We start from the raw sequence: 22,270 nt of genomic DNA on the forward strand, positions 1-22,270 counted from the left end.
AAATAAAGGTATTTTGAGAGGTCTTTATATGAAGTATGTATGAAAATCTCAGGAAAGGTAGAAACAAACAAAAGGTGTGAAATCAACATCAAATACCCACAACTTAGAAAAATTAAACTTTCCATGACTAAATTTTAAAAACTGGCTTTTATTCATAGTTTAAATATTATTAAAAGAAATGCGTACTTTACAATAGATTTTTCTAATTTTCCTTTGACCAATGTGACATTTTGAGCAGTTACTTTGATATGTAGATATCTCTGCATATAAGGATGATGGGAATGTGTCACCTATAATAGGATTTGATTATTTCAAATAAAATTTCAACATGTATGCATTTATCCTTTAGATTACTTCAATGAAAATATGAGAAAGAAGTACGTAATTTTGTCCTAAAGAACCAGTAAAAAATCCACCTCAGCTTGCTTTAAAATCTCTCTTCAAGTTATTTTCTTATTTGACAACTAAATCAAACAACCAGTCCTCTTACTTTCTTTGATCTAAACAATTTTACAGAGGCTACCTTGCAAATGTCCCAAGAGATGAGCCTGCTCACAGTGAAAAATGTACTCAGCAGGAAATTCGCTTAATGATAATGATTATTCTTCTATGTAATGGACATTTCATTGTCAGTAAAGTGTAATATTATTCTGTTGAAAGCTTTACATATGCAGCCAGCTCCAAAGACACACTAGTTTAACCTGCGTATCTCATTTTCCAGTTCTATCATTTGTCTTTTTGCATATTCAGTGAAAACCTTTCATGCTTGATACATGGATTGCTTTATGCTAACGTTGTTGCTTTTATGAAAAAATCTCCATAGCTTGTATGGATATATGGATTCATGAATACATTTCACATGATATCTGGTTGTAGAAGGTGGCATCTATTGTTTTGCCATGTGTGAGTGTATGGCTAGAGATTACTACTTTTAATTAAGCAGTGAATTACCACATTCTACTTTTTACAATTGCAAAGTTTTAACATGGGCAAGTTTTCCAGTCAGTAGTGGTTCGAGACACCACTACAGTATTTGGACGGCTGACTAAAAGGTCTCTCTTAGACACACACACAAAATCTCTGTATAGGTTTTACAGGATCTGCAATGCCACAAAACGTCTTTGTTTGTGTGTTTAGCATTAATGGCCTGCTTTCTCTTCAAAATATAAATACTCTGGAACACAAAATTGTGTCACCTCCACTTTCAGAAGTTGTTCCCCCAAAGCAAGCAAGCCCCAAGCTACATGACTGTCCGCTTCATCAGTCAGAGGTACTGAAATAAGGCGAAAGGCTAAAGGAGAATTAATACGTGAGAATCTCTGAGCCCCGAAAGCGAACCTAGAATTCTTCCCAATTAAAACATTAAGCAGAGGGGTACACTTAGGACCCGATTAAGAAATGGATAATGTATTCCTATGTACAGTAGCCCCCCCTCCCCAGTCCATTTACTCCTTGTTTCATTTTCTGTGGTTTCAACTTCTGCAGTCAACCATAGTCCAAAATTCTTAAATGGAAAATTTCAGAAATAAATAATTCATAAGTTTTAAATTGTGCACCATTCTGGGTGGAGCTAAAATTTCACGCCATGCCATGCCCCATCCCGCCCAGAACGTGAATCTTCCCTTGACCAGTGTATCTACATTTAGATGATCCCCACCCATTAGTCACAGTTATCAGATTTAAAAAAATATAATATGTATAGGGTTTGGTACCATATGCAGTTTCAGGAATCCACTGGGAGTCTTGGAATGTATGCCCTGCAGACAAGAGAGGGACTGTTGTATAAAGATAGACAAGGGAAATATAGGCAATTTATTAGTGTGTAAATATGCTACTCAAATCAGTATTTCTATTTCAGTAACATATAACCTCATGGGGATATACTTACATACAAAGCACAAATATGTGAAATGTTCTTACTAAAGCACAGGTTTCATTATAACTTAGATACACCTATATCCCATATTTATGTAATTATATTTTAAGTCTCTTTAGTGTTTAGTGCACATATATAATGGGGTCATATATGTATATATGTGCATGAACATGTATTTTATATACACTACTGTTCAACACACACTATTGATTCGTTTTTTCATTTTTTTTTATTTTACTTTAAGTTCTGGGATACATGTGCTGAACACGAAGGTTTGTTACATAGGTATACAAGTGACATGGTGGTTTGCTGCACCTATCAACCTGTCATCTAGGTTTTAAGCACCTCATGCATTAGGAATTTGTCCTAATACTCTCCCTCCCCTTTCCCTCCACCCCCAGACAGGCCCTGGTGTGTGATGTTCCCCTCCCTGTGTCCATAGTTCTCATTGTTCAACTCCCACTTATGAGTGAGAACATGTGGTGTTTGGTTTTCTGTTCCCGTGTTAGTTTACTGAGAATGATGGTTTCCAGCTTCATCCATGTCCCTCCAAAGGACATGAACTCTTGCTTTTTTATGGCTGCATAGTATTCCATGGTGTAAAACACACACTGTTGATTCTGTGATCTCATTTTCAAGGGACTGATTTTTAGTTAACGCTTATAACTTCTTATAGATAACTTAGCATTATTCTCATTTTTCAAAGTAAAAAAATCATTGTAAAATAATTTAAAAACAAAGTAGTCACATTCAAGTTTTTAAAAAAATTTTTTCACATGTTAAAAAATGATAGCAAGCTGTATTAGTTTGTTTTCATGCTGCTAATAAGGGCATGCCCGAGACTGGGCAATTTACAAAATAAAGAGGTTTAATGGACTTACAGTTCCATGTGGCTGGGGAGGCCTCACAATCATGGAGGAAGGTGAAAGGCACATCTCACATGGCAGCAGACAAGAGAAGAGAGCTTGTGAAGGGAAACTCCCTTTTTAAAACCATCAGCTCTCATGAGACATATTCACTATTATGAGAACAGCATGGGAAAGATCTGTATCCATGATTCAGTTACCTCCCACTGGGCTCCTCCCACAACACGTGGGAATTAAAGATGAGATTTGGGTTGGGACACAGCCAAACCATATCACAAGCTATCTTAGAAAATAGTCTCTATTAAAACCTTTTATGACAAGATCTAAATCTATAAAGCTCTTAAATGGAGGAATTGGTGGAAGATGAAAGAAATAAATGAATAAAATGCTATGGTTAATAACAAAGTTTGACCAAATAGAGTAATTGAAGGGAAACAGAAAACATAATTTTGAAAAGCCATTAAAGAAACTTAAACCTGCACAATGGATAATATTTCCCACTAAAGATACTGAATAAGTCATTTGGCTGCAAGTAGGATTTGAGCAAGATAATGGAAATGTGTGTGTGTGTGTGTGTGTGTGTGTGAGAGAGAGAGAGAGAGAGAGATACAAAGAGAGAGAGAGAGATTGGAAGAGAATACCTTAATAAACGTGATAACCTTTGGAAGAACTTTTAATATCTGTTATATCGCAGGATCTAAGAGGGTAGATTTCAAGTGTGGCTACTCCCAATTTTTATAGGCTACTATTTGGAAAATTGAGTAACACTGAAAGGTTTTACACTAGTGATATTGTATATTTCAGGACATGGGCTCTATTTTCTAAAATAGAGCTACCCAAATGCATTTCACCATGGAATCTCTTTAAAAACACAATACATTGATGAAATACTAAAGGAGATGATGAGATATGATCTACTTTTGGATTAAAGTTGCAAGTACAATAATGGTATCAGAGATAAATTTATTCTGTGAGTAATGCTCAAAAGCATTTCTATTTTGATAACATCAGATAATGTTACCAATATATGCTGAAATAAAATAATTCATATAACAGTGACCAGATCTTACCAAAAAGATTAGAAAGTAAATGCTTCCTAACTCACTAATGCCTAGATTGAATATCATGTATCGTATGCTCCCTTGTCTGATTATCTGGCATTTGAGGGTTAAGTACAAAATTTTTAAAGGTATATTTTAGCACAATATATATAAATATCATTAGCAATTTTTTACATTTGTTCCAAAAGAGTATTGTTTTTTATGAAAAGATATATTAGGAAGAATTCAAATAATGCAGCAAAATATATACAGTTAAAAAAATAAGTCCTCAAACTATGCTATCCAGAAATGACTATTAACCCTGCATATACTTTATTCAGACATCTCTCCCAGCACATAAACCTGAAATATTAGATAGGTAGGTAGATAGGAATATGTACATGATTATATAAAAATGGGATTATGCTATTTTTATAATTCTTACTAAGGTATAATTTATATACAATAAAATTCACCAACTTTGTACATTTTTATGTGCTTTGACAAATATTTAGGGTCATGGATCTCCTACTATAGTCATGATATTGATCACTTTTGTCACCCTAAAAAAGTTCCCTCGTGTCCCTTTGCTGTCAGTTCTATCCACTGTCCACTCTGTTCTGTTTTCTGCCACTATCGTTTTGCCTTTTATGGATATTCACAAAAAGCAAATCATAGAGCATGCTGGCTTTGTGTCTGGGTATTCTACTTAGTCGAATGCATTTAGTAATCATCCATGTTGTTGCACGAATTCCTAGTTCATTCCTTTTCACTGCTGAGCATTGTTTTGTTGTATGGATATCTCACACATCCGTACATTCATACAGCAGTTACGGAAAGTTTGCAGGTTTTTCAGTTGTTGCAGTTGTTTTCAGTTTTGGCTTTTTATAAGTAAAGCTGCATTTGAGAGGATTTTGAATGGATATATATACATATATACATATGAATAATTCTTTTAGGTAAATACAAAAAAAGTGGTATTTCTGGGATATAAGTTATAGATCTATTTAACTTATAGAACACTATCACATTGTTTTTCCAAGAGGCTGTAAAATCTGGCATTCTAACCAGCAATATATGGGAATTCTATTAGCACCACATCTTTAATAACATACTTAAATTTTCATTATTCTGGTGAACATATGGTAGTTTCTCACTATGGTTTTAATTTACATTTCTATAATGACTACTAATTTTGAGCCTCTTTCTATGTGCTTATCTGACGTTTGTATAATTCTTCGGATGTGGCCATTTTGTTGTTGGGTTATAATTAGTTTTCTAGGGCTACCCTAAAAGTATCACACGTGGCCGGGCGCGGTGGCTCACGCCTGTAATCCCAGCACCTTGGGAGAACAGCCTGGGCAACAAAGTGAGAATCGGTCACTAAAAACAAAGTTATTAACTAGATGTAGGTTTTACAAATATTTTCATCTCGTTTGTGGCCTGCACGTTGATCTGCCTTAACATTATATTTTGAAGAGCATATGATTTTAATTTTGATGAAGTTTTATCAATTATTTTATCATTTCTGAATTTTGAGTCCTACCTAAGAAATATTAATATTTGCTAAAACAAGAACACAGAGGGTTTTTTTTACATGGTCTTCCAGAGGTTTTATATTTTCAACTCTCACATTAATAAATGTGTAATACATTTGGATGTGTATACTGACTTTTCTGAACTAATTCTGTGAATTGGTTCAAAATTGTGTGCGTCATCATGGAAAATCCTCCAGGAGAGAGACCCTGTCCCCACAGGGCATATACATGTTGAGGGGTGTTTTGGGGAAATGCAGTGCGGAGGACATCTACATAACAATAAGAGTGGAGTTTCCTGTGTAAGTAACGTGGCCCCGTTAGGAGGGCACACGTCCCTAGTTCAATGTTTGTTGGGTTATCATTCTTTTCTCTTAACTTAACTCAAACTGCTAAGAGACCCCTTTGCTTAGCTACTGAAAGAATATGGCAATTTACAGCAATTAACAGAACTGACCTAGTCTCTACTCTTTTTTGGTAATGTTCCACACATACAGTTCATTATTTCATTTTCACAGTAAAAGGAATAGAGTAAGCAAGGCCAAAATCTCGTGGAGTTAGACTTCTGCTGTTTATTATTTGACAAATTTCCTCTTTTATCCTCACTTCCTTAATTTTACCTCTTAGTTTCTTTTCACATGAAACATTTGTTCCAAATGAAATCATCTCAGTTAGAGAAGTGATAAGCAAGTGGGAAATGGAACTCTATTTCAGTGGCTCCAGAGGCCAGCTCTCTGAGTTTGCAGTCACTTTGAGAGCACAACCTCATACAGGCAAATAGAACATTTATGTTTAGGAGATCCCAACAAAGCAAGCAAAGTGTTGCAAGAAAGAATTTTCTAGCTCTGCATTCCCTGAAAGCTTCCAGTAAGTGGAAAAATTGTTTCTCAACAGATGGCATTCAAAAATTTTTCCTATGAAATCTGTGTGATCAAGGATTAGGGAAATGTTGCAAGGTTCTGTTTCTCTATATTTGGATCCTAAATACTGAATAATGGTTTTGTTTGTTTGTTGTTGCTCTACTTGTTTTAATTAGTCCATATTTTTGACTGAAGTATTTTAAAGCAAATTTCATTCATCATGTCATTTCTACCCTTTGTTCTTTAGCATGCATCTCTAAATTTAGGGACATTTTCTCATGTAACTGCAGTTTATGTTACATCTTTCAAGACAAATTAAGAAATGTTTCATATTAAAATTTCACTAATTGTCTTAAAATGTCTTCAACTGGTTTGTTCTAATTGAGATTCAAACAAGGTTCTTATGACTCTTGGATCTCCATAATCTATAATGGGATTTTCTCTTAATATTTTTATATTAGGTTTTGAAGAAATCAGGTCAATAATTTTGTAGCTTTCTATTCTAGGCATTTAATATGCACTGGATATTAGTACTAAAGGCTTGATTGAATTCAGGTTTCATGTTGGACAAGAATATCATATTTCATTGGCGGTTCTCTGTTCTTCATAACATATAGTATTAGGAGGACAATATGTCTGGTTATCATATTCATAGGACATACTGACGATACAGCTATACAGACTATTTGTATACTTGTATTCTCCCCACTTTCTGCCTCTTGTTCTTATCACTTAATGATATATTCTGGAGAGCAATTACATAGAAACCATCCATATTTCCTTGTATGATTACATAGTATCCCACTGTAAGAACATAGCATGATTTACTTAAACAATATCCTCTTAAAAGATGTTGAGGTTATTTCCTGTATTTTGCTGCTGCAAATAATACTGCAATTAACAACCTAGTTCCTTAGTAATTTTTCTGGTATATTTTTGAGATATGGTCATATAAGTGAGTTTTGTATTAAAGAATAAACCCATATGCAAATTTGCTAGATTTTGCCAGATTTACAGAGGGGTGGTAATGTTTTGCATTTTGACCAGAAATTCACGAGAGTGTGTGTCACTCTGTAGTCTCACTAGCCAAGTATATTGTCAAATTCTTGGATATCTGCTAATCTAATAGGTGAGAAATGGTATTCCAATAAAGTTTGAATTTATTTTTGCTTATTATATGTCAGGTTGAAAACATTGTCATATGTTTAATAGCCATTTTTATTTTGTCTCCTATGAATTGCCTGTTCAAAATGTTTGCACAATTTTTTACTGGTTTCTTGGCTTTCCTCTTCACAGTCTCTAGGAGCTCATGGTGTATTAAAGACATTAGCCCTTTGTGACATATGTTGCAAATATTTTTATCTGCTTGGTATTTGCTTTTTACTTCACTGGTTTCCTTTGCCATACAAAAACTATTTTTAAAATAGATGTAGAATGTATTAATCTTTCCTTTTGCCTCTAAATTTTATATATTCTAGTGAGAAATATATTCACTCCAGATTATAAATATATGCACTCAAATGTTGCTGTAGTTTTTACGGTTTAACCTTTATTTTTTATATCTTGGTCCATTCGTAATTTAAGATGTAAGACATGAGGCACTCAGGCAGTTTCATCTCTTTCCAAACAGCTATGCAGTGTTCCACCATCACTCATTTAAAAGCCCATCTTCTTCCTGCTGACTGGAGATATAGCTTTTTGTCATATGTGAAATTTTTATAAATAAGTCCTTCCTTCCTTCTCTCTCTCTCTCTTTCCCTTTCTTTCTTGCCTTTCTTCTTCCTTCCCTTCCTTCCTTTTTCTTTCTCTTTTTTCTTTTGCTTCTTTCTTTCTTTCTCCTTCCTTCCTTTCTTCCTCCTCTTCATCTTTTCTTTTCCTCCTCTCTTCTTTCTTTTCTTTCTTTCTTTCTTCTCTCTCTCTCTCTGCTTCCTTCCTTCCAAAACTGAGTACCTCTTTTGATATTTAGGATATTTTTATTGTTCTAGCATTCCCTTTATGCTATCACACTTATATAGTACCTTAGTTTGCTCTATTATTTCTAACTAAAGCTGACAAGTGTAAAGATTACCAAAGCATCAGCCATAGAGCATTTCTTTAAAGCTGTGACAATTTTTAAGCAATCAAAAGATTTTCCGAACAGAAGCCCGTATTGGAAATGTTTATTAACAGTTTTAGAAGGTAATCACTGAGGAGTTATAATTTTTACCTTTTGCTTTTATAATGAATTTTATGTTTGTAAGTTGTAATTAATCGCATTAAAATTATATTATTCACTTTTTTATATTTAACTACATAAAAAGCTTTCTTAGAAAAAGGATAACAATCTGATTTCACATATCCCTTCACAGGTCAAAAACATTTCTGTCTCTGCATGTGATTGTGTGTAGCACATATAATCAGATTTATTCCTTCATACAGAATGTCATACTTTCCTAACAGATTTTTATACAACAAATTTTTGTATGTGGAAAAGCATTGCTTTCTATTGACTGTCTGGAACCTTCACTGTAAAACAAAATTGTGTCATCTTAATGTAATTAAATTATAATTGAGGGCAAAATAATTCTAATTTCACAATCCTTTTATGGTGAATCTAATTAATGGCATTTAAAGGTCCTTAGGCTTGTATTATGTTTTTATTATCACAGTACTCCCACAGAGCAATAGTAAGCCCCAAAGCCTTTGAAATATGATGGAGATTTTCACTGACCTCAAACTGCCTTAACACTTGTAATTTCATATCCCAGGTAATTGCTTTAATGCTCTCTGCTAGTACTTTTGATACCATTTACACACTGTGGCCTCTTCCACATATGTTTGTCCAATGACACTCACTAAATCATACAGTCACAGTGCCTTGAGAAGAAGAGAAGACAGTAAAGCTGAGGATTAAAATGAAAGCCAGCTTAAGACTGATGAGAGAAGGCACAGCTTTGTGTCCTGGGCACCAAGATCTTGACTGAAGAGCTACTTGGTCGTAGTGGCAGAGGTCTGGAGAAGAAAGCCTGGGTACCACAAAGTCAGAAGGTTTCAAAAGCTACATTTATTTTCTCCTCTGCCATACCATACAATGGTAGGCCTCATGAGAACAGCTCTGGAAGACCAGCCCTATTTTGCCTGTTAGTTGCAGTCCTGACCAGACATCAGAAGAGATCCAAGAGTAGCTGCATTTAAAATTAAAAGTAGTTTATTTGCAGAAACATGGATGGAACTAGAGGTCATTTTTAGTAAATAAGCCAAGCAAAGGACGACAAACATTGCACGTTCTCACTCATATGTGGGAACTAAGAATGTTGATCTCATGAAAGTAGAGAGTAGAATGATAGTTACTTGAGACTGAGAATTTACCACCACTGGGAAGTTGTGGGGAGAGAATGAAGAGAGGCTGGCTAATGGGTACAGATATACAGTTAGATAGAAGAAGTAAGTTCTAGTGTTTGATAGCATAATAAGGTGACTATAGTTAACAATAATTTATTGTATATTTCAAGATAGATAGCTAGAAAAGAAAATTTGAAACATTCCCAACCAAACATGATAAACTTTTGAGGTGATGGATATTCTAAATATCTTGATTTGATCATTACACATTGTATGCATGTATCAAAATATCACATGTACCTCATAAATATGTATAATTATTGGCCAGGTGCAGTGGCTCTCACCTATAATCCCAGCACTTTGGGAGGCCAAGGCAGATGGATCACCTGAGGTCAGGAGTTTGGGGTCAGTTGGGACAACATGGTGAAACCCCATCTCTACTAAAAATACAAAATTAGCCAGGCATGGTGGCACATTCCTGTAATCCCGTCTACTTGGGAGGCTGAGGCAGGATAATCACTTGAACCACTTCACTGATCATTAGAGAAATGCAAATCAAAACCACAGTGAGATACCATCTCACAACAGTCAGAATGACTATTAAAAAGTCAAAAAAATAACAGATGTTGGTAAGGTTGCAGAGAAAAGGGAACACTTATACACTGTCGGGGCGAGTGTAAATTAGTTCAGTCATTGTGGAAAGCAGTATGGTGATTCCTCCAAGAGCTAAAAACAGAACTACCATTCATCTCAGCAATCCCATTACTGGGTATATACCCAGAGGAATATAAATCATTCTATCATAAAGTCACATGCATGCAAATGTTCACTGCAGCACTAGTCACAATAGCAAAGATATGGAATCAACCTAAATGCCCATCAATGACAGATTGGATAAAGTAAATGTGGTACATATACACCATGGAAGACTATACAGCCATAAAAACGAATGAGATAATGTATTTTGAGGGAACATGGATGGAGCTGGAGGCTATTATCCTTAGCAGAATAATGCAGGAACAGAAATCCAAATACCATATGTTCTCACATATAAGTGGGAGCAAAGTAATGAGAACTCATGAACACAAAGAAGGAAACAACTGACACTGAGGTCTACTTCAGGGTATAGGGTGAGAGGAAGGAAAGGAGCAGAAATGATAACTATTGGATACCAAACTAAATACCTGGGTGATGAAATAATCTGTTCAGTGAACCCAAGTGACATGAGTTTACCTATGTAACAAAGCTTCACATGTCCCCGAGCCTAAACGTTAAAAAGAACAACAAAAAGCTTTCAGTGACCAAGTATATATGAGAAACATAACATGTCCTGGACCCATTGTAGAGTAACAATGTACATTTCATTATGAAGACCTATGCTAAAGAAATCAGGGTAGCCAATTAAACCTATGGACTAATTTTAAATATAAAATTTAAAAGAGATGTCTTTTCTCTCCTTTATTATACTTTTTATCCTCCTGTGGAGCTAATATTACGCAGAGCTGGTTGGAAGATTTTCCAGATTTATACTCTACTAAAGTTTGTAGCTGCATCACGTCCCTTTGGAGGTGTAGGTGGGTGTAAATCAAATCTATAAACCTTTGCAGTTAGTCTTTTGAGTGCCTCAAAAAGTGTTTCTGCAAATATCAACTTAATAAACAAACAGCAGCATCTGAGTTTTCATTACGATCAAGTCCATAAAGTAAGTCTGTAGCCACTAACTAAGCTGCACATATGGTTAATTAGAAGTATCATAAAGCTTTATTGAAAAGCATAATATTTACATCAAAGTTAACATTTGAGTTATGCTGGATTTGGGCTACTGTGAAGGCTAAGATTTAACGGTGAGAATTAGCATGTAGTGGAGATTATTACAAGATTTTCACTCAAATTATTAATATCCAGAAAATGCTTGCAACAACCAGAAAAGGGAATAAGATGATGGTATTACTCTAACTTTTAAAAATTGATATGCTATTTTTTGACACTGAGAACCCTATGCATTACTTACATTGGTGTCTGCATACGCATGTTTATATGTGTGTATGAGTGGGTGTGAAGTCACTCAGTACTTCAAGTCCCAATGTTTTCACTGGGCATGCTCCTAACTTGTCATAATGTTGTGGATAATAAACACTGGTTGGAAGATTTAACTACCACGTACTTTTGAGGTTATTTTCTAAAATGTAAAGTTGAAATCATGTTGGCTATTGTTATTTGCTCCTTGGGAAGTACATATAGTCTCATTTAAATATGGTATTTCCTTTTGCTGCCTTTTTGGACACCACTGACAATTGTTAAAGATACTTAAGTCAGCTTTTGTCTTTCAAAAAATCTGTTACTATCTTGGGAATAAGGTTTGTCTTTTTTCTTTTTTTTTTGAAAGACAAAACTTAAGTCGGTTTTGTCTTCCAATAAAATTTGTTAACATCTTTGGAATAAAGTTTGTCTTTTGTTTTGTTTTGCTTTGTTTTAAATTTTCTCCCCAGTGCAGCATTGATTACAAAGAAGGAATTCCATAAGTTCTATGACTTCTTGAAGGTCCCAGGGCTAATGGGTCTCTCCTAAACATAATAGAATTTGCAGAAATATACAGGCAACAAGGCAACAGCTAGAAGATTGAACATTTTACTTTTCATTCATTTGATAGATACGCTAAGATTTTTATTGAAATGTAACATAGATAAGTACATGAATACCACAATAAAACTTCGCTAATTTTCACAAAGTGAACATACTAGGTGACCAAGACCCAAAACTTGAATATTATCAGCACGAATCCCTCCATGTCACTATCAGTCACTATCTCCACCAAGTAAACCATTATCATGACTTCTAACAGCGTATCATTGCGTCACAGAATTATATAGTATATTCTCTTCTGGGAGGATTTGGCTTCTTCATCTAAATACTGGTTTTTTTTGAGATTTATCCACAGTATGTGTACCAATGGCTTATTTTCAATGCTGTGTAACACCATTCCATTGTAATTTGTTTATCCATTCTTCTATTCATGAACATTTGGATTGTTTACACTTTTTGGCTTTTACAAACAGTCCTGCTGTAAACATTCTTGTGCATTTTGGGGAGCATTCACTTTGAAGTAGAACTACTGGGTCTCAGGGTATGAAAAAGACTGGGTAAAGTAGATACTGTGAAATTCTTTTCTGGAGTGATTTTATCAATTTACTCACCAGCTTTGTAGGAGAATTCAAACTGCCCCACATGGTCACCAACACTTGATAATGTCACTTGAACAGTTTTTAGCCAGTATGTTTTGTCAGTTCAATTATTGTAATTTTTGAAATGTAATTCTCAATCAATTTTAATGAAGTACAATTTAGACACAATAAAATGCATGCATTTTAAGTGATGTTGATAACAAATTTATACATCTGTGTGATCATCATATCAATACAAACAGGGAACATATCTATCACTCTCGAAAATTCCTTTGTGCCCCTTTTTAGTCAATGCCCTCAACACTCACTGCAGGAAGCCATGACTTGATTTATGTCAATGTAGAATAGCGTTGCTTAATGTTAGACTTTACATAAATTTAATCATACAGTATGTACTCTTTCGTATCTACTTCTTTTATTAGAAATAAAGTTTTTAGTTAATCTATGTTTTTATGCATATCAGTAATTCACTTCTTCATATAGCTGAGTAGTTTTCCATTATATAGATACATACTGCAAGTTGTTTATCATCCACTCACCTATTGATGAACTTTAAAGTTGTTTCAAATTTTTTTGTGTTAACAATAATGCTGTTATGAACATTCACATGCAAGTCTTTGTGTGGTTATCTTCATTAAGTGTATCATATGACAAGGGTATATTTAATTTTACAAGAAAATTCTAGCCTCTTTTCCAAAGTGATTATACAAAGTGATTATAACATTTTAGACACTCAACAGCAATATATGAGTCATAAGTACTCCACACTCCTGCTAACGTTTGATATTGACAATTTTTTAATGTTAGCCATTCCAATTGTGCAAATTTGTGTTTTGTTATGGTTTTAATTTGCATTTCTTCATGAGTAATTATGCTGAACATTTTCAAAGTGACTTTAAACATTCTACTGGTGATTTGTTAATCTTCTCTTGTGAGATGTTCTTTTCAACCTTTGGCCCTCTTTTTATTGGGTTGTTTGCCTTTATATTATTGACTTGTAAGAACTCTTCATATCGTCTGCATAGAAGTCCTTGTTGGATACATGCACATGTAACTATATCTTCCCAGGTTGTAAATGGCCTTTGGGTTTTCTTTAGCAGGCTTTTGAACAAACAGAGGATTTTAATTTTGAGGAAGTTCAATTTAAATTTTCTTTTTTGCTTAGTGCTTTTTCTTACCCCCCCGCCCAAAAAAAAATCTTTGCATACTCCAATCTATGAAGATTTTCCCCTGCATTTTCCTCTAGAATGTTACAGTTTTACCTTTTATTTTTAGGTAATAGAAATAAATAATCTATTCACCAATGACCTATTTCAAATTAATATTTATGTAGAGTATGAGATAGGGGTACATGTTTTATTTTTTTTTTTCATATGGCTATACAGACATTCCAGCATCATTTATGGAAAAGACTCATTTTATCTCATTAACTTATTGGTGCTTGGTTAAAATTTAATGAACCATACATACATGGCTTTACTTCTGGATTCTATTCTGCTCCACTGACACTCTATGTCTTTGTACCAATAATATTTATCAAGATTACTTTAACTTTAGCTTTATAGAGATCTTCAAATTAGAAAATGTGATTGTTTTAACTTTATTCACTTTCAAAACATTGTTGGCTCTTCTATGTCCTATGCTTTTACAAATTCTACAAATATGTCTGCTTACATTTTGATTGGGACTGTGTTAAATCTACATAGACTTTTTGTGGGAGAATGAATTAGTTAACAATGTTGAATCTTCTAATAAACTCTTGAACAAAGTAAATCTCAGCATTTATTTATGTCTCATGTAAGTTCTCTGAGAAATGTTTCCAGTTTTCAGTATAAAAATTCTGCATATTTTTGTTAAGTTTGTTCCAAAATATTTTGGACTTTAGTGCTACTAGACATGATATTTCTTTTTGAGTTTCAATTTTATTTCATAACTTCATCCCCATTATTTCTTGCTAGTAAATGTAAATACTATTGATCATTGTATATTAGTGTTTGTTCTGTGATTTTCACTAAATTTACTTATTTTTTCTAGTAGGGCTTTTTGGTAATTTTTAAGGATTTTCTCTGCACATTTTCATATCATTTCTGAATAGAGACTGCTTTATTTCTTCTTTTCTAAGTTTCTAACTTTTATTATTTTTTTTCTTTTTTTTACTATACTTTCTAGGACCTCCAGTACAATTTTCAGGAGAAGTGGCAAGAATGGACATCCACCTCCCACCATGTGATGACATGGTAAGAAGGCCCTTGCCAGATGCTGGCACATTGATACCAAACTTCCCAACCTCCAGAACTGTGAGCCAATATATTTCTAGTCATTATAAATTACCTAGTCTGCAGTTTTGTTATAGCAGCACAGAACAAAGAAATACAGATCCTCCCTGACTTAATGTTGAGGTTATGTTCTAATAAACTCATTTTAACTTGAAAATATTTTAAGTTCAAAATGCATTTAATAGATCTAAACTACAGAACATCATAGCTTAGCCTATCTTAAACATGCTCAGAACACTTACATTAGCCTACAGTTGGGCAAAATCATCTAACATCAAGCCTATTTTCTAATAAATCTTAAATAATTTTTAAATATTTCGTGTAATTTATTGAATACTGTACTGAAAGTGAAAAACAGAATGGTTGTGTAGGTTCTCACCATTAATTTACAGAGTTGAAAGTCCACTGGACTTGAAGCTTGAGACATTAAACTAAAATCTATTGCTGGGTGATAAGGATGCTACAACAACTGGGTTATCAATTTCTTTCTCTTCTGATGAAACTTCAGAATAGTTGGTAGAAGGCACTGAGACACTGACATATTGATTTAGCAGGCATAGTGTTCTTCAGAAAGACATCGAGTATTGGTTATTTATCCTCATGTTACATATTTTACATCATTTGTTACTTCTCCCATATTTCTGATTATTTTAAAAATTTTTGTCAAAAAGAAATGATCATCAGATTTGAGAAGATCTATCTGCCCTTAAGTTCACTAACATTTACCATCTATACTTTGTTAAGATCATACTGTAAACATTTTTATTCATTTATTATACTTTTCAGTTCTAGCATTTTCAATTTTTGTTTTTTCACAGTTAACATTTCTCTTTTGAAATTTCCTCTCTGTTGACTCATTAAAACCATTTTTTTCCATATTTGGCCTGGTTTGGTTTTTCTGTTGCTCTGACATTGTGGAGAAATTGTTCCCAGGAAGATAATGTCATCTCTGAATAACGATATATAGTCAATTTTCATGCTGCTGATAAAGACACACCTGAAACTGGGTAATCTATCAAGAAAAAGAGGTTTAATGGACTCACAGTTCCACATGGCTGGGGCTGCCTCACAGTCATGGCAGAAGGCAATAGGCAAGTCTTACGTGGCGGCAGACAAGAGAAAATGAGACCCAAGCGAAAGGGGAAACCCATAATAAAACCATCAGATCTTGTGAGACTTAATTACTACCATGAGAACAGTATGGGAGAAACCACCCCCATAATTCGATTATCTCCCACCAGGTCTCTCCTACAACATGTGGGAATTTTGCTGCTTGGCTAAAACTTACACTAAAATGTAAAGAGAAATGATAATGCCAGGCATTCTTGTCTTGTTTCTGGTCTTAGGGGAAGGTTTTAATAGTGCACAGTGAAGTATAATGTTTGCTGTAAGTTTTTTTTTTAAATCAGATTAAAGATGTTTCTTTTTGTTTCAAGTTTGCTAAGAGTTTCTATCTTGAATGGAGAGTCAGTTTCCTCAAATCATATTTTCTGCATCTTTTCTCTCATTTCATTATGTGGCAAATTACACTAATGGTATTGTGATGTTAAATCAATCTTATATTATTAGAATGACTACCTTTGACATGAGATATTTTGTTTAGATTTTTTTGCAGCCATGAAATGCCCTATAATTTTGAGTAACATGAAGTAACTCAAAAGTAATATCTCATCAGATTTTAGTGTTGAGGTTATGCTGGTGGTAAAGATCATCTCTGTGTATTTTTCTATTATTTTTTCCATTTTCGCTTTTGACCTTGTTTTTGTTTTTTGCATACCTGGTAAATTCTGATTGAATATGAGATATTGCACATGAAAAATTATTGAGGATCTTGATGATTAGATAGATAAAATGAGGTCAGTTTACCTCAATCAAACCAGGGGCTATGTTGGCACCAGGCTAGATTATATTTTTTGTAAAAACTGTGTCTATCATTGGTTCACATTATCCCCTTGTGTATTACATAGTACTCTGGATTTCAACTGAGATCCTGGGTTGTTTACTAGAGTCCCTTCTACTTGGAAGATTCTAATCAATATATTTTTTTTTCAGCATGGTGAGACTAAGGAAATCTCATTCAACTTTTCAAAAGCTTTCTGCTTACCTTCTCAGCAATTTTCCCCATGAGATTTATACATTTGGAAAATGTATTTTGAGGAAAACCACAAGTATGAAGCTCAGTTCTCCACATCTTCCTTCCCTCTGGCCCTTAGTCCCTTAAGTCCTAACTATATTGGCAGTCCTAGAGTTTAGACTCTAATTTTTGTCTCCCTAGCCCTGTGAAGTTGCCAGAGGTATGGCTGGCTGCTCAGATTCTTATCTGTGGGCCCATTCGCATGCCTTTAGCCTTTCCATCTTTGCCAAGTATCAACAGGTACCACTATGAGAAAAGTGGCCAGCACAATGTGAGTTTCCCAGTCTTTGATTCCTTTAAACCTATAATCTTGGCTCTCTAATGCTTGGTTGCCTTAGCATTTCTATGATGCCTTCAAACAGAAGATTTAGACTTTTTTTTTAATCCAAGAAGGGAAAAGTCTTCTGCCTAATGGTAATTCACTATATTTGAAATTGAAAGTTGTTCAATCCAGGAATTTAATATTTTGTCGATAAGTCCAAAGAATTGATGGCTATAGATTTATTGCTATGAATGAGATTCAAAAGTGCCTTTTAGGGAACTGCCTCATATGATACATTCTGTCTTATAGTGGGGAAAAGAAAGTTTTGGGACCCCAAAGAGCATAATTTTGCATTAGTAGAATTACAGTATTTATCAGAACTTGGAAGTATTTACATGCATTTTTGTTCTCAATTGTGCAAATACTTTTTCCCTCTCAGTTATGGACAGTTAAATAGCAACACGACTATTTCAATATTTCTTCCTATGTTGGGGATGAGATAGTTTATTAATAGTACTTTAATTATTACCATCAAATGAATACATTATCTTCTCTTTCATTCCCTCTCTCATGTTTTCTCTGTAGGGATTGATTCTTAGACAGAAAACATCATCTCTGCGTATTCATAATGATACATAAGTGAGTTACATAGGAGAATGAAATGTAAATGAAGATAATGAAATCTTTATGACCTAGAAATGGCATAGTGTTTATGTAGTAGTTCTTGACAAATAAGCAAATTAGGGTGTTCATTTAAGCAATATATCCCAGGAATCACACATCATATCAACAAGAGGTTAACTTATTTTTGTATTAACTCAACACATAAAAGAGTATAAAACTTTTTGAAATGTATGGAAATATTTAAAATCCTAGCTTTAAATTATGGAAACAGTTCCTAGGTATATTAAGAAATTGTTGATTATGGTAGCTAATAATGGAGTATAAGTTATAATGCTATCCATACCAGAAGAAAAACTACATTAAAGAAGTGTCATTGTAAGAGTACATCAAGAATCACTTTAAAATTGTATCCATAGGAATGCAGATTTTTTTTTAATATCTTTGTAGTATGCATTATTTTTTATTTCATTATAATGATTTACCACTACAAGGGTAGGGAAAAAATAATTTATTTCAACATTCTTACTCATTGAAGTGTTGGGAATAAAAGAATCCAATAAACATTGGCTTTTTAAAAATAGTCATAAGAGGTTTTTTTGTGTTGTATCATCTATGAATAATTTCTCCTTTATATACACAAATTCTATTTAACTGAAAATTAGAATAATTAACAGCTGACCGAAAGTTTTGATTTTTTTCATATTTAAAATGTAAACATTTTCTTTTCTTAGAAAATGGTATTTATTAGACATTAAAGGCTCCTAAACAATGTTAAAACAATTTTTAAAAATTTCCAAGCATAGCTCACATCCTTTTGTAAATATTTTGATTCTTCCTTGTACTCAAGAGTACATAAATCTCTAAAGGTGGAATTTTCCTAACTTTTGAGTATGCTGCTACTGTAACTTGGATATATACAGCTTTGTGTATTGTGATTGAGGTTGAAGCAGTTTTCCTAAAGGAGCACTCTATTTTATGGTTTTCAAATTGTTGTCCTACATATAGTTGACATTCCCAAGCATTTTATTCCTTTTGTCTTGGATGACTACCCCTAAAACATGTCATCAACAAAATTATTTTTTTCAAATAAGAAGAAAAATACCCTTGTCTAACTGAGAATTCATAATAAATTTTATTCAGAAATTGTTCACATGAAAATTTCACACCAGCAATTTCTAAGGGGTATTTGGGAGGGCACATCCAATCTTCCCAAAAAATAATGCAACCTGCAAAAATAGAATAAGTTAACTTGGCATGAAAGAATAAATGAAAGCAACTTCTTGGTAGCTGATTTTGAGGAATTGAGAGAAGTATTTTATAATTATGATTCTGGTTTATTTAAAAGTCAACTTTTTTTGTGGAAGAAATAATGGATGTTGTATTTACGAAGGACTTTGCTGTTCACTTTTATTAGCATAAGTCTTGTATTCAAATTGAAAGGATACTCCTAAGAATATCAGATCATTAAGTTTAAATAAATTTTAGTGATTTTTTTTTCTGCACAGCTGAAAACATTAGTAGTTTAATGTCAGAACAGAAATTAAATTCAGGAGCAGAGAGCAAGATCAATTATACATGATTCTAAATATACTTAAGGGTATAAAAACAAACTGGAATTTCTAGTTTAAAAAGGCAGAAGAACATTTTTCCTCCCTCTGCTTCTTCAACTTTCACCACAACAAAAAACAACTAAATAAAGAAGAAGATATTCTATCACAAGGGAAAGAAGCAAATTTTTAAGAAAAACAATTAAGATCACTTGCCAAATATTGTTAAATGATAATCAAAATGAGGGATCACAGACAGTGTATAGACTTCCTCAAAGTTAGATGACACAAAAAATCATCAGAATTAACTAGATTAATTATTAGATGAGATCTAGGGTTGTCTCTAAAAATGAAAAATCATCCCAGTAGAGATCCATTTTGATATCTCAGAATAGTGAGGAAGCTAGAAATAAAAGATCAAAAAAAAAAAAGCGTACCAAAAAATCCCAACATCAAAATAGAGGCTGCAGACTTGTCTTCAGATTTTCAAATTCTTCCTGATCCCTAGCCCACTCCACGCCCACTTTGACCCCACGTATCTTTCAATTAGCAGCTATTAACATTCAAAGATAAGTAATGTCATGCAAGAAGGTCATAGGCACACATCAAGTGCCACACAGTCCTAATATAACATAGCATTTATTAAGGAAAATTTTACAGCTGGAGAAATAGCAGGGTGATTGCAGCCCCCAAAGTCCCATTTTTCTCTACCATAGGATGGGCATAGATATTCTGTATACATGAAAACCAAGGTTCTAGGAGAGAGGGTGTGACCTGATCAGCACACTGGACATGCAACTGAGCACTCCGAGGCTGAGTACCTAACACTATGGTATGTGTTTATGGATGTGCCTAAGATGGAGACTACAGAACACCTTGTTTCTCTAAGTCAGGAAAGGACACGTTTTAAGGTCAAGGGTCAGATAGCATATATTTTATATGGAGAGAGCCTTCACTGGCCATATGGCCTCTGCTCTGTTGCAACTACTCAACTCTGCTGTGGTAGCACAAAAGCAGTCATAGACAGTACACAAAAAGTCGGCGTGGCTGTGTTTCAAATAAACTTTACATATGGGTACTAAAATTTGAATTCCATATAACTTTCATATTTCAAGAATTATCATTCTTCTTTGCATTTTTTAAAACCATATAAAAATATAAAAACCATTCTTAGCTCAGGTACCATGTAAAAACAGGCAGCAGACTGGGTGTGCTTCATGGGTTGTGGTTATAGTGTTTCCTGATCCCTTTACTAAACAAATAAGAAATATATCAAATTATCTCTAGGTCCGGAAACTTCACTAGGGAATATGCATAGTAAAGTCCAAGTCATGCAAACCAAAAGCCCTGGAAACGGTCTTACATGTCAGGAATGCTGACATGAGCCAAAGGCCTTGGCTCTCTGAAGGCCAGTTCAGTCTACTGAACTAACTCTCAGCTAAGACATCAAAAGTTAGAAGGAAACGAGCCTCTAGAGCCGTCCAGACATGTCTCTCATCAGGTAATAAACACAAAAGCTCTAGCATAAAAACCACTCATTAAAACATGTTTGTTATAGAGGATAAAAAGGAAAATTATGAAGCACTTAAAAAGAAAAATGAAGAAGCAATATCATTAAAAGAATTAAAGAAACACAGGTAAAGTCAGAAAAATAGAAATAAGCTATAGATGAGATAATACTTTAAACAGTGGGAAAAGAGTTATACATGTTCAAAGAAAGGGATATAATAGACAGAAATGGTTGAAAAATGAGCCTATAGATCTTAGGAAAGAAACGCAAGCGAATAAAAAATATGATGGTTCTAAAAGTCACTTTAAAAATAATGCATAAAAATAAGTATCACTGAAAACAAAATCAAAAGTGTAGTAGATGGAGTGTAACAAATTACATAAATAAAACAGTAAAAAACAAAACACGAACATGACTATGGAGAAAATTATGGATACAGCAAAGGATATTGAACTATATATAACTTGTGTTTCTAAGAACAGAAAAAACATTACAAAATTCAAGTATGCAGTTAGGGTAAACTTCTCTGAAATATGTCAGGCTTAACTCTGCAGATTGAGTCTCATGATGTTGCAGGAAAAATGGATACAGAGGGACTGATATAAGTGCATGCATTTTGGTAAATTCCCTGGTCTTTAAGGATAAAGGAAGAATCGTATGGACATTCATTAATGAATGAACAAGCAAGTCATATACAAAGAGGAATATCAAGTGGTCTTTAGAGGTCTCCAAAGAAATATTCAGTTGCAGAAATAGTGTAGAGATGTCTACACATTTCTTTAAAAAGTTAACTATTACCACAAATTTATATCTGAGGAAGTTGTCCTTCATATTTAAGGTAAAAGGTATAACTTCTCACTCTTATATAATAAAAAAATGCCAAACAGGAAATGACAGAAAATTTTTAAAATGTAGAAAAATAGAAACTGTTGAAAACAAGGCTCAGGGAGAGTTGAATCCACTTTTATACTAACATTGAAGATGAGAGAACTAAAGTATTCACAGTTATGCAATCAAAGGTGCATGTTACACTTTTGGAAATGTTCAGATGACAATATAATTAAAAGTGGAGATTAAAAGAGCAATGTGGGAGGAAGTATGAGTGATATTTTCCTCATAGTTCTAGCAGGGAGTCAAATATTTTTCAAATTTGAAATATATAGTTAAAAATAACTCTTTTTAGACATACAAGTGCTCAAAATTTTACCTCTCATGTACACTTTCTCAGTAACTATTA

General features: G+C 33.7%; 2 long non-coding RNA genes across 2 annotated transcripts in view; one reads left to right on the forward strand and one right to left on the reverse strand.

Moving 5' to 3' along the window:
- The window catches only part of LOC124901056 (uncharacterized), an 891,204-nt gene that overhangs the window by 25,584 nt on the left and 843,350 nt on the right, over positions 1-22,270 (reverse strand). The gene's annotated exons all lie outside the window — the stretch shown is intronic.
- LINC02240 (long intergenic non-protein coding RNA 2240) overlaps positions 1-22,270 on the forward strand; it is a 108,967-nt gene that overhangs the window by 11,418 nt on the left and 75,279 nt on the right. The window contains exon 3 of the long non-coding RNA NR_109887.1: positions 14,850-14,917. This is a non-coding gene — a long non-coding RNA (long intergenic non-protein coding RNA 2240). The remainder of the gene's footprint in view (positions 1-14,849; positions 14,918-22,270) is intronic.

The sequence above is a fragment of the Homo sapiens genome, chromosome 5 (assembly GCF_000001405.40).
Source record: "Homo sapiens chromosome 5, GRCh38.p14 Primary Assembly".
Classification (NCBI taxonomy): Eukaryota; Metazoa; Chordata; class Mammalia; order Primates; family Hominidae; genus Homo; species Homo sapiens.